We start from the raw sequence: 15,884 nt of genomic DNA, 5'->3' as shown, positions 1-15,884 counted from the left end.
GGTGCCTGTAATCCCAGCTACTTGGGAGGCTGAGGCAGAGAATTGCTTGAACTTGGGAGGCAGAAGTTGCAGTGAGCCAAGATTGCGCCACTGTACTCCAGTGTGGGCGACAGAGCGAGACTCTGTCTCAAAAAAAAAAAAAAAAAAAAAAAAAAATATATATATATATATATATAAAATCTGACAACTTTTGTTGACTTATAATTGAGATACTTAGACTATTTACATAAATATGATTATTAATATGGCAAGGTTTGAATCTGTCATACTGCTACTTGTTTTCTATTTCTCCTACCTATTGTTTGTTCTGCCTTTGTTTTACTTCCTTTTGCCATTTAGATTAATTGAATAATTTTTATTATTTCATTTTATCTCTCTTGTTTGCTTATTACCTATAATTCATGATTTTAGTGGTTGCTCTAGGGTTTATACTATACCTCTGTAACATCACAGGCTACCTTCAAGTGATATTATATCCACTTCATGAATACTATGAGAGCCTTATAATAGTCTTATGGGATCTTTGGGGTGTCCAATTTCTGGCTGGAAACCTCTGTGGCCAGTGGCACCTTTGCCTGAGTTCTTGTCCTGTGTCCAGGAAGAATGAGATAGGCAGACGGGGAAGGGTGAAGAAGATGAAGATAAGCTTTATTAAGTGTTAAACAGCTCAGAGGAGACCCACAGTGTCCTCTCTGTAGGCAGGTCATCCCGACCTCTGCTGCTCTCAGCAGAGAGGAGGCCCTGGAGAGGGTAGTTCCTCTCTGCAGCTGGAAGTCCCAACATCTCTGCAGGTCTCTGAAGCTCTCGGCAGAGAGGGTAGCTCCTCTGTGCAGCTGGTCTCTTGTGGTCTCTCCATTCTCTCTGTCCTCTCTCTTGCTCTGGCTGAACATGGAAAAGCCCTTGGAGGGGAGGAAGTGCCTGCTGATTGGTCCATGGGCGGCCATGGGCTGGCTGGAAGAGGCACCATGAGTCCCCACTCCAGTCTGTGGGACTGGCAGCCCGTCCCCAGCCTACAGGCCCTCCCTGGCCTGAAGGTGGGGCCTTACTGAGGACCCACCCCCTTCTGCCCAGGACTTTGCCTACCGCTGCCATTCAAGGCCCTGGTACTTGTCCCCAATCCCGCTCTGAGATGAGAGGTGGGGGGCCGGGAGAGGAGACAGGCCAGGCAGCCAGAATAGACACTCCTGAGCCAGCAGGGATGGTGGGCGGGGGGGGGCTTCCCATGCGCCCGAGGGTGCAGGCCGCAGAGATGCCTGGGTGCTGTGCCTGGGAGGGTGGCTGCAGCTGCCTGCACTCAGGGAGCTCCTGCTTTTCCCCAGCTCCCGCCTGTGTGGTGGAGTGGGAGGCCCAGGTCTGCAGCCGTGGATGGTGGCTGCAGCTGCACCCCGGGGGGCAGATCCTGCCTGCTCCTGGCCCCACTCAAGAGCGCAGGGAGGCTTGGATCTACAGCTGCAGTTTGGGCAGCTGCAGTGGCACCCAGGGAGTTCCCACCCCAACTCAGAAGGGGTGGAGCTCCCACCGGCTCCATGGAGAGTGCAGCCCCAGCCTCACCTCCCTGCTGCAGCCAGCGTGATGGTAGCAACCGCTGTCATCAATAGTATATTTCCTTTTCTTCTTTCCTGAACTTTGTGCTATTTTTTCAGAAAATTTACTTTTACATATGTCACATGTCACATTACACTATTGTTTAAACAGTTAATTATCTTTTGGTGAGCTTTAAATAATAAGAAAAACTCATAAATTTACCTGTGTAATTAGCATTTCTGGTGCTCTTCATCTGTTGGTGTAAAGCCATAATTCCATCTGCCATGTCCTTTTTGCCCAAGCACTGTCTTTAATATGTCATAGGTGTCAGCTGGTGATGATTTTTTTTGGGCTTTAATTGTATATCTTTTTTTGCATATTTTAAGAAGTTTTTGGTTCACTTTTATTTTGAAGAGCTATTTTTATTGGGTACAGGATTCTAGATTGACAAGTTTTCTTTCAGTATTTTGTTTTATTCTATTTTGTTTATTTTTTTAACTTTTAGATTCAGGGTACATGTGCAGGTTTATTATATAGGTAAATTGTGTGTTGTGGGGGTTTGGTGTACAGATTATTTCCTCCTCCAGGTAATAAGCGTAGTACTCGATAGGTAGTTTTTCAATCTTCACCCTCCTTCCACCCTCCACCCTCAAGTAGGCCCTGGTGTCTGTTCCCTTCTTTGTGTCCATCTTTCAGTATTTCCTATTATACTGCTGTCTTCTCACTTATATTTTTTAAAACAATGAGAAACCTGTTATCCTATTGGTTGGTTCCCTGCATGTAATGTGTCTTTTGGCCCCGTGGTTGTTTTTAAGATCTTTCTCTTTGTTACTGGGTTTAAGCAATTTGATTATTGTATGCCTTGGGGTAGTTCCTGTCACATTTCTTGTGCTAGAAATATATATATATATATATATTTTTTTTTTTTTTTTGAGATGGAGTTTCACTCTTGTTGCCCAGGCTGGAGTGCAATGGCGCGATCTCGGCTCACTGCAACCTCCACCTCCTGGGTTCAAGCGATTTCCTGCCTTAGCCTCCCGAGTAGCTGGGATTACAGGCACCACCACCATGCCCGGCTAATTTTTTGTATTTTTAGTAGACACGGGGTTTCACCGTGTTGGCCAGGCTGGTCTGGAACTCCTGACCTCAGGTGATCCACCCGCCTCTGCCTCCCAAAGTGCTCGGATTACAGGTGTGAGCCACCGAGCCTGGCCAAGAAATTTCTTGAGTTTCTTGGATCTGTGGGTTTATAGTTTTCCTCCTGGTTTGAAAAAGTTTCAGCCATTATTTTTTCAAATATCCCCCCTTCCCTGCCCTTCTCCGTCAGTCTCCATTACACATATGTTATGTTGGTTAAAGTTCTCCCACAGCTTACTGATGCTTGTTTATTTGTTTATTTAGGTTGTCTCATCTCTGTGTGCTTTGCGTTGGGAGGTTCGTACTGTGATGTCTTCAAGTTCATTCACCTGTGCTTCTGCAGGATCTAATCTGCCAGTAATCGCATCCAGTGTATCTTGCACTGTATTCTTACATTTTCCTCAATGAATGTTTGATTTGGATCTTTTTATGTTTTTCAGATCTCTACTTAACTTTCTAGCATATAGAATAGTTATTATGATGGACATTTGGGTTATATAAAGCTGTTATGACCTTTCTTTCTCTTGTGGACATAGGCTTTTATTTCTCTTTAGTGTAAATAAGAATGGAATTGCTGAGTCATAGGTTAGGTGTATGTTTAAGTTTATAAGAAATTGTCAAACCATTTTCTAAAGTAGTTGTACCATTTATTCCACATTCTAAATACCATTTCATCTTTTCAAATAAATTTAATTATTCCAGTGGGTGAGTAATGGCCTCACTGAATCCATATGGATATTAAGTACTGATAGAATACACGGTCACATATCAGCAAATAGACATGATTAGTGCTTGACTCTAAAAGCAAATTGAATTCTTATAAGGTTATCATATAGCTGAGAGCCTTGGCTCTACAAACATGAATAGGTAGCTGAGTGGTTAGTTTTTCCAAGTGCTAATGCTTGTAATTGTGTTTGAGGAAGAACCACATGTGTATCACAGGCTGGACTGTCTCTTCTTCTGCAGGAGAGCTCAGAGAGGCTCAAGAGCTTAATGGTGATTCTGGAACACCTTTGAACCAGGAAAGCCAGTTGACTTCCTCATAACATAATTATGCTGTTTAGCTAATTACTTTTTCCAGAAGAAAAAGGGTTGAGAGTCTAGAAGTGTATGTGGATTACTTTGTCACAGAAGTAGGTGGCTCTACGGCTGAAGTCTGGAAGGGAGTGCATTTTCACATAATGATGTTGGTTGATGTAATGTTTCTAGGCACCCCATGTGGTGATTGATGAGTTGGGTGAGAGTGAACGTCCGTCTAGGACTCTGGAATTGGGAATGCTAACATGGTATCCGTGGGTCGTCTTGGGAATTTTAGCATCACCAAGATGGTTTCTTGTTCTCTGTTTGCTTGGTAAAATTCCTGTTTTTGCTCTTTACAATTCCACTAGATTTATTATTTCCCTTAAATGAAAAGGAAAAAGAAACAAACTATGAGATGAAACGTTGACAATTTCTTCCTTTACTTTTTCAGCCGGAAGAATTAACCTCGAGTCTGCACGCTTTTAAGAACAAGGCCTTTAAAAAATCCAAAGTGTGTGGAGTTTGCAAACAAATTATTGACGGTCAAGGTATTTCATGCCGAGGTAAGTCTGTGTTTATGATTCTCTCACTGATTAATCCAGAGCAAAACAAACAAGAAACAAAACGAAAACTTTTTTTCAGGAGTTTCCGAAAGTTAAATCATGGAATTCCCCTTCTTAGTTTATATGTCCCCCAACCCCCTACCCCCTTACTTAGCAGGGGCCAACCGTATTTACATAGATAAGTGCTCATGAGGACATTTTTACAGAAAGAGCAGAGTTTCCCGATGGGAGAGGAGGCAGCAATTTGTAAATTAATCATTTATTCTCAGGTCTGCTCTGAAGTGTCAGTAACTCAGGTTGTTTAGTTTGACTTTCAGATCTGTTACTCAAGTTTGCGAATGAAATGTTTCTATCTTTAGATTTCGGGTTCATTTTGGTATGGCCCCTTTCAGATCCTGTCACTAAACTAAGCCACCAGCTTGGGTACCAGATATTTAGACGTCAAGTAATGAATGGAACTTGCCAATTCTTTTGTGACTGCACATTAATAAATCTAGTAAGAGAGGTGTGACTGTAATGAATGTGGGAGTGGTGGGGGGCAGGGGCTGCTTGGCGGACCAGTGGGGTACACCACACAGAGGGAGTCACTAGGAGGACCAGGTCCTTGGAGAGTGCGGGGGCTGCTCTTTGGCATCATTTCATCTGCGGGGTTGGGGATTTCCTCTAGAAAATGTGCAGAGTCTCAGCCTGTGGGCTTCTGTGCTGTTAGGACCTCCCCCTCAGTGCCTCCTTCCCTGCAGACCCCCAGCAGATGGTCCCTGATGGCCACTTTAGAGTAGGGTGCCTGTGATGGAACGATGCACGCAGTCAAACCTTAATGGGTTGAGGATGTGACCAGGGGCCTCTAAGGGGCTCTTGGGATTCTTTTACAGTTCAAAGGCCTGAGTGTGGGTGAGAAGACTGGGGTGCCCCTCCTCTGATTCGGCCCCTTGGAGAAGTCAGTGCTGAAGAATGTGTTGGATGAGTGGTGGGTACCGGCCACCCTGGTCGCTAAGTAGAAGCCAGAGACCAGGGAGCCACCTGTGTAATTCATCTAGATCTGCATCCAAGGCAGAGAACACGGGCTGTAGTGTACTCTGAGCCAACTGATAGGACATCCTGTGATTCAAAACTTTTTTTTTTTTTTTTGGAGACAGGGTCTCGCTCTGTCATCCAGGTAGGAGTGCAGTGGGATGATCAGGGCTCACTGCAGCCTTGACCTCCTGGCCCAAGCCATCCTCCCACCTCAGCCACTCCAGTAGCTGGACTATAGGCATGCGCCACATGCCTAGCTAATTTTCTTACTTTTTTAGAGACAGTCTCATTATGTTGTCCAGGCTGCTCTTAAACTCTTGGCCTCAAGTGATTCTCCTGCCTTAGCCTCCCAAAGTGCTGGGATTACAGGTTTGAGCCATTGTTTTAAGCCCATACTTGCAAACGGCACTGCACTAGGTGATATCTTGGTCATCTGTGAATGCTGTGGCCTGTCACTGGCCATTCCCCTGCATAGCTTGTCCAGTTCAGGAGGGCCATGTCAGCCAAATGTGGTGGCCCTTTGTGTTTGGGGCCTGCAGGTGTAAGGTGATGAGAAATTGCACTGATGCTCTCGGACAGGCGTCCTCCATCAAGCTTGCTCTAAAATGTCTGTGGGCAAATACAGCAGCCCCTCTGTGTCCCACATACCCTACAGGGTCCAGTAGGGGCTTTGTGCCTTTCCAGGAACATGGCAAAAATAGAAGCCCAAGGAGTCTCCCCATCTTTGAATGTCATTCTCATAGAAATGCTCATATTTTATTTTATTTATTTATTAATTTATTTTTGAGATAGAGTCTTGCTCTGTCACCCAGGCTGCAGTGCAGTGGCGCGATCTCGGCTCACTGCAAGCTCTGCCTCCCAGGTTCACGCCATTCTCCTGCCTCAGCCTCCCCAGCAGCTGGGACTACAGGCGCCCGCCACCATGCCCGGCTAATTTTTTTTTTTGTATTTTTAATAGAGATGGGGTTTCACCATGTTAGCCAGGATGGTCTCCATCTCCTGAACTTGTGATCCGCCTGCCTCGGCCTCCCAAAGTGCTGGGATTACAGGCGTGAGCCACCACGCCCGGCCAGAAATGCTCATATTTTAAAATTTTGGTCTCTAACTTTGACTCCCAAGTGTGAAAAGAAGGAAAAGGAAAGTCGTGGTTGAATTGGAACCATGAAACCAGCAGCACAGAGAACCTGGGAATCAGAGCTGTCAGGGCCTGGTGTTGATCCGAGAGCCCTGGTCCTGTGCCAGCGGAGCCATTGGGCGATACTGGGAGAGCTGTCATGAGCAGCATGGCATCAGCAGGGACACCTGGGCTTGTTCTCGGCTTCCTTACCCTGTGATGACGTCCCAGGCAAAGTTGCACAGCCGAAGGTTCCCCATGAACTGACTTCTGCCTGTCAGATGCTATGTGGGGACAGGTCTGATTTAGGAGCAAAGGTGGAGGTCAGACAGAGCTGGGTCCTGGCCCTGCCCCTGACAGGGGCAAAGTCTCCTCACTCTGGGTCTAGGACTTAGGGTAAGGGCTGTTCCAAGGGCAGAAGTCAGGCTTAAAGTGCACAGCCAGCGTTGTGGTACTTAGGTTTGTTGCTGGTGTTAGGATTGCTCTGAAGGGAACCCACTGTGGGTAGCTCCACATGGCTGATGCCGCATGTGTGTTTGGTTAGCCTCTGCACCACACATCCTTGAGCTGTAATCCAGTGGGGGAGCTCCTTAGACACAGAGGCCTTTTGCACAACTTACCACAGTGGCTTGGGCTGCACTAGGTTGGTTATACTGCTTGAGGAGTAATTTTTCCTTCTTTGTATAAAAGAGAACTGAGTTTACTGAAGAGTCATCTCAGACATCCTTTTTAATACTTCAGTATTCTGTTCCTGCCATTTAAGTAGTATTGACTATTTTCAGAGTAAATGGAACCAACGAAAGAGAAGAGCTTGGAGAAAGCACGGCCTCCAGCTGTGAAACGCGCAAGCACGTCTTGGACGGCGGGGAGCCTGTCTTCTTTCTTTATCTGGAGGATCATTGTCTTGGTGCCTTCCCTGGGTTGGGACTTGTGTCTCTTCCTCTGTCCTGCAGTTGCACACACTCAGAAGGGCCAGGGAAGGACCCCAGATTGATCCTCTGGTTCCAAATGAACTCTGTTTTGTGGTATTTTAAATATGTGGCGTGTGAAATATTACGGAGGGGTGAGGAGGCCTGCCAGAGTGGTGTGTATGTGCCTGAGTGTGTGGGTGCACATATGCATGGCTATGTGTGCAGTGCATGCATGCATGATTGAGTTCATGCATATGAGGACAAGCAGTGCACACACCTGTGATTGCATGTGTGTGCATGCGTGCATGCGTCTGAGTGAATGCATTTGCTTGAGCGCACAGATATTCCACATTGTGAGGGAACATGTGAGAGCATCCCTCCTGTTCAGACCACTTTGTAGAGTTCAGCTGCTCTATGACGTCCATTATCTTATCTTGAGGGAGATAGAAACAGAGAAAATGTGCATGCACACAGGAGCAGCTTTTGTTCTTGAAAGAGAAGAGAGGGAATAAATAGTGCCCTATCTGGACAAGATGTTCAACAGGCTTATCTTGCTGTGTGTCACCTGGTTGTTAAGGAAGATGCAGTAAGGCATGCTGTCTCCAGATAATGGTTTAAATTTCACACGCTTCTGGCAACATCCAGGCACTCACGAGAACAAAGCCCAGTGTGGTGGCCCCGTGGCCCATCTACTGGTTTCTGTTGGTAATGATGCTTTCCCGCCTCCTCTTGGAACTCTCTGGAGTTCTGCTTCGGTGGGAGGCAGCGAGACACCTAGAGCGTCACCTCCGAGGATTCAAGGCCCACTTTGGCCTGGAGGACCCCACACGTACCCAACATGGACAAGCAGCGGGGCTGCCAGCTCTGTCCTCGTGCAGCATTATCTCCTGTCCTGTTTGGCTAATGCTCCTCTACTCCAGGGAACCCAGTGTAGCACTGGTTTTTCTCACTGGTGAAATAGATTTTTGGTCAGTGGAGGTAACAAGGGAAAAAACAGCCATGTACCTTTTTTCATCCCTTGAAGAAAATCACTCATGGACAGCTATGATGTTAGGTGACTTCACCCCTCTTCTCACGCCTGGTTTATCCCTTTCTTCTTTACCTCCTCCTCCCCTACAGCTTACTTTCCACCGCAGGGATGCATGGCTGCTCCCATTGCCTTTTTTTTTTTTTTTTTTTTTTTTTCTTGAGACGGAGTCTCGCTCTGTCGCCCAGGCCGGACTGCGGACTGCAGTGGCGCGATCTCGGCTCACTGCAAGCTCCGCCTCCCGGGTTCACGCCATTCTCCTGCCTCAGCCTCCCGAGTAGCTGGGACTACAGGCGCCCGCCACCGCGCCCGGCTAATTTTTTGTATTTTTAGTAGAGACGGGGTTTCACCTTGTTAGCCAGGATGGTCTCGATCTCCTGACCTCATGATCCACCCGCCTCGGCCTCCCAAAGTGCTGGGATTACAGGCGTGAGCCACCGCGCCCGGCCTCCCATTGCCTTTTTTAAGCTGGTTCCTTTCCAGGGGCAGCCAGGATGCAGGCATTATGGACACACAGGCACCTGCTCCTGCTGTGTCCCTGTTCGTGGCTCTGGGCGCCTCAGCTAGGATGGGATGTCTTGTCTAGAGGCAGTAGAAAGAGATCAGGATGTGGGGTCAAGTTCTGGCTGTGCCACTCACACCCTGGGCAGTTTTGGACAGTAGGCTTTTATGAAGCCCATTTTCTCAACCCTAAAATGGGCATGAAAATGCAGATCCAGTGGTGCAGAGCTGGGACTCGGGGAGGGGTGTACGTGAAAGGGCCTGGTCTGCCAGGCCAGTGAGGCAGGACGGGACCACCGCCTCCCCAGGGGACGGCTGCTTCGTGCTGGCAGGCAGTGCTGCACTGCACCCTGGATGTGCCGCCTCTCAGAGGGCGCTGGTTCAGCTTCTCCCCAAAGAGTTGCCCTGAGCTTGCTGGCTGTGAATCCTGGGGGTGGTGTGGTGAGTTGCGTTCACCTTTCCAGCCTGGGTGCCTGCAGTGCATGCATGTGTGTTCTTGTGTGTCTGTGTCTGAATTCCTCCCTCACTCCTTGCTCTCCTCTTAGCAGTCCCATATGGTGAAGCTCTTCTGCCTTGAGCCCTCTGGCCTGGTGGGCTTCAGTAGGGTCTGTCCCCATGGTCCCTGGGTCCTTTCTTTGTGGTGGGTGGTGGCAAGCACACAGCTGCTTTTTGCAGAGAGAACTGGCAGAAGCTGAGGATGTGGTAGGCTTGGGAAGCTGCATGTCCTGTTGAGTTCATGGCAGGAGGTCCATTATCAGGAGAAGGAACCAGGAACTGGCCCAGATGAAGGAAAACCTTTGCCTTCTGGAGGAAGGAGGGCCACCGCCCTTCAGGGAGCACTTGCAGGCTCCATCCCCGAGGAGGGACCCCCACTCAAGGCACTTGGTGGAGGCATTGGGAGGAAACAGCAGCCATGGGCACCGTTGGAGGCAGAGGCATTCTGACTCAAGGGACGGGCCCACCTCTGGTTTCTGGCGCTGTTGACTTTAGCATGTGGTGAGTGTTGTGCCCTTGGGCATATGTGCACTGAGATCTTGAGGACTTCTGTTGGAGAAGTGTCTGTCTTCTTCTTTCTGTGGCATAGTTTTTTGGAACTGCCTCACGTGTGCCCTGTGTTATGGTCAGAATGTTTGTGTCTCCCCAAAATTCTTATGTTGACATTCTAACCCTCCATGGGATGGTGGCATTAGGAGATGGGGCCTTGGGGAGGTGATATGTTTTGTGAGTGGAGCCTCATGGGTGGGATTAGGGCCCTTATGAAAGGGACCCTAGAAAGCTCCCTCACACCTTTGGCTATGTGAGGATGCAGTAAGGAGGCACCATCTATGAACCAGGAAGTGGGTCTTCCCCAGACACCACATCTGTGGTGCCTTGACCTTGGACTTGCAGCCTCCAGAGCTGTGAGAAATAAGCAACTGTTTATAAGCCACCTAGTTTAGGGTAATTTTTAAACAGTAGCCCAAACTGGAGGAGACATCATGTTTTTATGCACATAGCTCTAGGAATTATGTTAATAAACAATAGAAACTCTTTTTTTTTTTGAGATGGAGTCTCGCTCTGTCACCCAGGCTGGAGTGCATTGGCGCGATCTCAGCTCACAGCAAGCTCTGCCTCCCAGGTTCACGCCATTCTCCCGCCTCAGCCTCCCGAGTAGCTGGGACTACAGGCGCCCGCCACCACACCCGGCTAATTTTTTGTATTTTTAGTAGAAACGGGGTTTCACCATGTTAGCCAGGATGGTCTCGATCTCCTGACCTCATGATCCGCCTGCTTTGGCCTCTCAAAGTGCTGGGATTACAGGCGTGAGCCACCGTGCCCGGCCTAGAAACTCTTTATAAAAAACATACAGGATTCCATGTTTCAGAAGTCTTTTAGACATGATTGTTTTCATTAGCTTTTTCAGTTATGTTAAGTTAATGTGTGTGCTAGAGACCAGGAGGTGTTCAGGGATGCTCCCAAGCCTGAGGTGCCATGGTCTGTTGAGGCCAAGGGTCCCTGTGGACAGGAGGTGTCATGGTGTAGGCTGAGGCGGCTGAGATAAGCCCCCATCATCAGAGCAGGAGTACTGGGGGGTCGGAAGTTACGTGGAGGCTGTGAGGCTGGCCTGGGGGTGTGGGTGGGATGGACTACCAGTGCAGAGGCTTGCGGCTCAGAGGTGGGCAGATCTGAAATGCCTTAGGGAGACACACCAGGGAATGTCACCCGTCGAGAGCCCTAGGCCTGCAAAGGCTGCTGATGCACAGAGGCTTTAGTTTTCTAACTTAATGCAAGCAACAAATCTATGATCCTGCTTGCCTGTGAGAAGGCGGGGGATATGGTGTCCCCACTTTTGGGGGGCGGGCATCCCATCCCTGCTGATACCTGGGACCCAGATCCACTGAATGGGAGAGCCCCTGGCCAGGCTTTGGCCCCCAGCCCTGCCTGCTGCTCCACCCTTGCTGGCCTTCTTCCTGGAGGCTGGGCCCCGGTCTCCATCGCCGTGCAGACCTCCCATTCCTCCTTCCTAACCCAGCTTCCCTGGGTCTGGCCCTTTGTCTGCCCAGGCTGGGATGCCCTTGAGATCCAGTCTCCTGTTTGCCTCTCCGCTCCTCTCCTGTTTGTACTCAGAGAACGGCTCTGGGAAACTGTAAACCATCCAGCGGGAAGAACCTGTGCCTGCATCCTCATGGTGGCCCTTTGAGGCTGTGCCTGCCTTATTTGGTCTCTCCTGACTCCCCCAGGTGCTTTGAGAGGCCGGCTGCACAGGGCTCATTTTTGACCTCTTGCTGGACTGTGCTGCTCTGCCTGCTGACCCTCATCCTTTAGGTTTCAGCTCAAGCACCAGGTCCTCAGGAAGGTGCCTCCCTGCCCTGCCGCTGTGTCCCCTAGCATCTGCCCTTTTCCCTCCAGAACTATCCATGGCCAGTGACTAGCCAGCCATCCGGATGTTCACTGGGGCAGTGATTCTCTGCCCTCAGCTGGAGCCCAGGAGGCATGAGGGGCTGGCTCTGTGTTGTTCACCAGATGCCTGTGCACAGGGCAGACACCTCCGTCCCAAAGTGGAGTGCTGTCTTGTCTTGCAGGGTGAACCCTCACCAGCACACTTTTACTGAGCAGGTGCGGCAGCTGGTGCATTGCGATGCCCACGGTGACCAAGGCTTCGAAGGGCTCGGAGTCTAGTGGGCTGGAGTAGTGAGCAGGAACAGGATCCCGTGTGAGGAGTGCTTTATCAGAGGTATTTGCAGCCTCCTTGGGAGCACAGAGGAGGGACAGGCAATTCTGGGAGGTGGGTGGGGCAGGGAGTGTGGGCATTGTCAGGACGATGGAGGAACTGCTGTGTTCTGATCATTTGTTTATGAATCTATCTGCTCCCCTGGGCCGACTGCCCCTACTATGATGCGATGCACTGCTGTTTCTTGGGTATCCTGAGTCTCAGCAAAGGGCCTAGAGCCCAGTAGGTGCACAGGGAATGTAAGTTGCATGACAATCCAGATGAATTTGTGCAGATAAACACCTGGCTCATTGATCCGCTCTTCTCTGGCAAATCCATGTGAAATGGCTCCAGATGTTATTTCCAAAGTTCTTTCCAGAACAATTGGAGGTGGTGAGTCCCCCAACCCTGAGGGCAAGCCCAGCCCCACCCTGGGGTTGACTTCTACCGGGGAACTGAGCTCAGCCCTCCCATCAGACTTGCCCCATCCAGAGAGGTGGCAACACGACAGAATCTCCCAGAAGCTCCCAAAGGGGAAGGAGGCACCCAGGCCAAATTTCATCTGAATAATTTCTGGTCGGTGGTGGTTATCCGATGGGAAGCAGCACTTCCCTGCCTCTAAATTCTGCTCCTCTGTTGCAATACAAAGCCTTTCTCAGCCGCCTCCACACGGACTTTACTCGTGGATTTTGTCTGAAATCCTTCCTGTTTTCTAACTCTGTGGCTGGGAAGAAGGCCTGGACCCCTCCCAGATGTTTCTCAACGGTCTGGGTTGTCAGGATTTGAGGTTTCTGCATGCCAGGGACGTCTGGGTTGTGTTAGTTGATTGTGCTGGTGGATTTTGATTTTTAAAACTCACTGAGTAGTGTAGCCAAGCTCATAAATCCAAGTATTTGTTTTGCAGTAACTGTGATCTGGAATTTTATGTTAAGTTGTGGGGTTGTTTTCTGTTGGTTTATTCAGATGGATGTAATGCTACTCTCTGGGTGTTCAAGGTCTGCCTAGGTGTGGCAGGGGGGCAAGGCCAAGTGGCAACTTCTGATTCCACATCCTCGAAGCCAGGGAAGAGGCAGTGCTGTGCTTCACGGAGCCCACGTGGGTATCAGCAACCCTGGGACACTGGCAGGCCTGAAGTGTTAAGAAATGTGAGGAGCGGCCGGGCATGGTGGCTGAAGCCTGTAATCCCAGCACTTTGGGAGGCTGAGGCAGGCGGATCACGAGGTCAGGAGATCGAGACCATCCTGGATAACATGGTGAAACCCCGTCTCTACTAAAAAAAACACAAAAAATTAGCAGGTGTGGTGGCGGGCGCCTGTAGTCCCAGCTACTCGGGAGACTGAGGCAGGAGAATGACATGAACCCGGGAGGCGGAGCTTGCAGTGAGCCGAGATTGTGCCACTGCACTCCAGCCTGGGCAACAGAGCGAGACTCCGTCTCAAAAAAAAAAAAAAAAAAAAAAAAAGAAATGTGAGGAGCTCTGTTCCAGAGGATGGAGTCGAAGCCTGGCCTCTGCATGACTCAGCCAGACGGCCCCTAACCTAGGGTGAGCATGGACAGGCAGGATCCCCTATCACCCTCGCCCCTCCAGCCAGCTCACTGTGGCTAGCATGGGTCTAGGAGGTGCCTACTGTGTTAGGTGCTGGCCACCCACACACAGGTGGACATCTGCCACCGGGCTGCTGGGCTAGTGAGGGACAAAGAAGTCCTGGACAGTCACACCCATGTGTGTGGGGGACTGGGGTTCTTGGGAGGGTGCTCCTGGTTTACATGGTGATGAGTGGCCCCACCGCTGGGGTCTGCTCACACACTGAGTGAGGTGGGGGACTTGTTTCCTTCCAAATGTGTATTTGAAGGAGACAATTACTAAGAGGGTTTCCTGAGTTAGACTTAAGATGTTTTTGAGGGATTGGTACCATCTTCTTTCTTTCCTTTCATTCTGCAATATTGTATAATATGATCCCTTTGAATATCTGATGGAGATGCAGAGACATTCTCCTTTGCACCCGTGCCTTGTGTTGGGGGGGGATATCTTAAATGGGGGGCAGGTTAACAACAAGGTAAAGAGACAACAAGGTTCGTCCTATACATAGATTATGTAAGTAATGTTAGGGATGGGAGCTGGCGCCCTGAGACGAAGCAGCAGGCGGGGCCTCAGTGGGTCTCACTGACTCTGGGCTTGATTCTCTGGACTGTGAAGTGGGCAGTGAGGCCTGGCTGGCCCTACTCACAGGCTGTTTGGAGGAACATGTGAGTCAAGGGACGTAAAAGGACTCTGTCAGCTCTTGAGTGCTTCATCAACATTAGTCAGTGCCGCAGCTGATTCAGTGTCCTATTTGTGAAGATTAAGTCCACCTCGATTGATTTCTGAGAGGCTCAAAGGTTAAACCTGTGATCTCCAGAGCCAGGCTGATGTGAGTTCAGACCTTAGCTCCACTGCCTCTCTGTGCTTCAGTTTCCCGGTCTGCCACATGAGGACAATAACTGATACTCATCAAGGGGTTGTGTGAGGATCAGATTCATGTCTGAGCACGTGAACCATGCCCATACGATAAGAATCCCTTGAGGGGGATAATGATTTATTTATTTATTTACTTATTTATTTATATTCTTTCTTGTAGAGATGGGGGTCTTACTGTTGCCCAGGCTGTTTTCCAACTCATAACCTCAAATAAGCCTGCCAACTTTGCCTCCCAAAGTGCTGGGAATTCAGGCGTCGGCCTCTGTGCCTGGCCCCAGTGATTATTTTTCGAGAAAAGAAAATCATTACGTGGAAAGAAAGAGAGAAAGAGTAAAACTGAATATCTGGGGATGAAAACTTCAAGAGTTTTAGGGGCTGTTGTCTTGAAGTGTGTTGCAGTGTTCTTGGGCAGATCTGGCGTGGGGAGGTGAGGATCTGTGAGGAGAGTGAGAACAGCAAATAGATAAGAGCATGGAGATGGCCGCCCTATGACATCGGCGGAGGGACCTTGCGGCGACATCCAATCCTACCTGTGCCACACGGGCGCACAGAGAGGGCTGCTCTGTCTCGAATGGGAGCATCTTGAGCCTTATCCCCATTCCTGAGTTTGTGTTCAACAGAGGGTGGTCTGGAGGGTTTAACTTCCCTTTTGGGAGGCACCTGGCTGAGGAAATGGTGCTGTGGGAGGCAGGCTGGGTGCAGCCAAGAGCCTTGGGCTCTCTGCAACCCCAGTCAACCTGCCACAAAGGCCTGTGCAAATACTGGAGTTTGTGAGAGTGACTATCTTGGTTGACTGATTCTTGATTGATTGATTATTGTTGACTGATTCTTGATTGATTGATTATTGATTGGTTGATGCCCTCAACAATTAATTTTATAGTGCCTTTTGGGTGGTGGCCTCCCTCAGGCTGTGTGACCCAGCTCCCTGTCACCTTCTCACCCATTTGCTGCTATTTTTCTTCTTGTCTCTTCAGACTTTTCTTGACCCCCGATACAGAAATGACTGTGGAACCCTCCCTCCGCCTTTAGGCTCCCGCTGCACCTTCCTGGAGTTACTTTCCTGTACCTCAGGTCATCCTGATTGAATCCACGGTTCCTGTTGATTTTCCTTTCCTCTTGCACTGCAGTGTACATTCATGAATGTTTTTTGTGTTCCCAATAGTATCCAGGTCCAGATCAGTTTCTGCCCTGTTGTAGGTGTCCAGGACATATTTATAGGCTTACAAAATGTTTCAGCTGTGGGTATTAATGAATACTGGTGGAATTAAGGAGGGAATAAAAGGTAGAAGTATTTAGTTTGGTGAGTATTAACTTGTGGTTAGCTTTGTATCTTTACAAACATCTGGTTTGTTGGAGGTGGTGAAGGTCCCTGCGGGTGAGCTCTTCCCCTTCCCTTTCCCGACGAGACTTATCTGAGGCTTGCCC

General features: G+C 49.3%; 1 protein-coding gene across 17 annotated transcripts in view, besides 4 other annotated features; it reads left to right on the top strand.

Annotated features, from left to right (window-relative positions):
* The window catches only part of TNS3 (tensin 3), a 307,433-nt gene that overhangs the window by 49,307 nt on the left and 242,242 nt on the right, over nt 1-15,884 (top strand). For all 17 annotated transcript variants that reach the window (XM_047420733.1, XM_047420729.1, NM_001410878.1 and 14 more), the window contains one exon: nt 4,133-4,244. Coding sequence is in view for 10 of the 17 variants with exons in the window: in XM_047420729.1 (XP_047276685.1) it covers nt 4,133-4,244 (112 nt within the window). In the remaining 7 variants the exon portion in view is untranslated. The remainder of the gene's footprint in view (nt 1-4,132; nt 4,245-15,884) is intronic.
* Nucleotides 11,423-11,928: an enhancer, noted in NCBI's record as "H3K27ac-H3K4me1 hESC enhancer chr7:47560950-47561455 (GRCh37/hg19 assembly coordinates)". NCBI's record gives its function as "activates a minimal SCP1, AML or CMV promoter by ChIP-STARR-seq in primed H9 embryonic stem cells {active_cell/tissue: H9 hESC(primed)}" and the evidence as "EXISTENCE:reporter gene assay evidence [ECO:0000049][PMID:30033119]".
* Nucleotides 11,929-12,435: an enhancer, noted in NCBI's record as "NANOG-H3K27ac-H3K4me1 hESC enhancer chr7:47560443-47560949 (GRCh37/hg19 assembly coordinates)". NCBI's record gives its function as "activates a minimal SCP1, AML or CMV promoter by ChIP-STARR-seq in naive and primed H9 embryonic stem cells {active_cell/tissue: H9 hESC(naive and primed)}" and the evidence as "EXISTENCE:reporter gene assay evidence [ECO:0000049][PMID:30033119]".
* Nucleotides 12,706-13,417: an enhancer, noted in NCBI's record as "H3K4me1 hESC enhancer chr7:47559461-47560172 (GRCh37/hg19 assembly coordinates)". NCBI's record gives its function as "activates a minimal SCP1, AML or CMV promoter by ChIP-STARR-seq in primed H9 embryonic stem cells {active_cell/tissue: H9 hESC(primed)}" and the evidence as "EXISTENCE:reporter gene assay evidence [ECO:0000049][PMID:30033119]".
* Nucleotides 13,418-14,129: an enhancer, noted in NCBI's record as "H3K4me1 hESC enhancer chr7:47558749-47559460 (GRCh37/hg19 assembly coordinates)". NCBI's record gives its function as "activates a minimal SCP1, AML or CMV promoter by ChIP-STARR-seq in primed H9 embryonic stem cells {active_cell/tissue: H9 hESC(primed)}" and the evidence as "EXISTENCE:reporter gene assay evidence [ECO:0000049][PMID:30033119]".

The sequence above is a fragment of the Homo sapiens genome, chromosome 7 (assembly GCF_000001405.40).
Source record: "Homo sapiens chromosome 7, GRCh38.p14 Primary Assembly".
Lineage (NCBI taxonomy): Eukaryota > Metazoa > Chordata > Mammalia > Primates > Hominidae > Homo > Homo sapiens.
The sequence above is the reverse complement of the archived record's forward strand: the minus strand, read 5'-3'. Positions and strand labels throughout refer to the sequence as shown.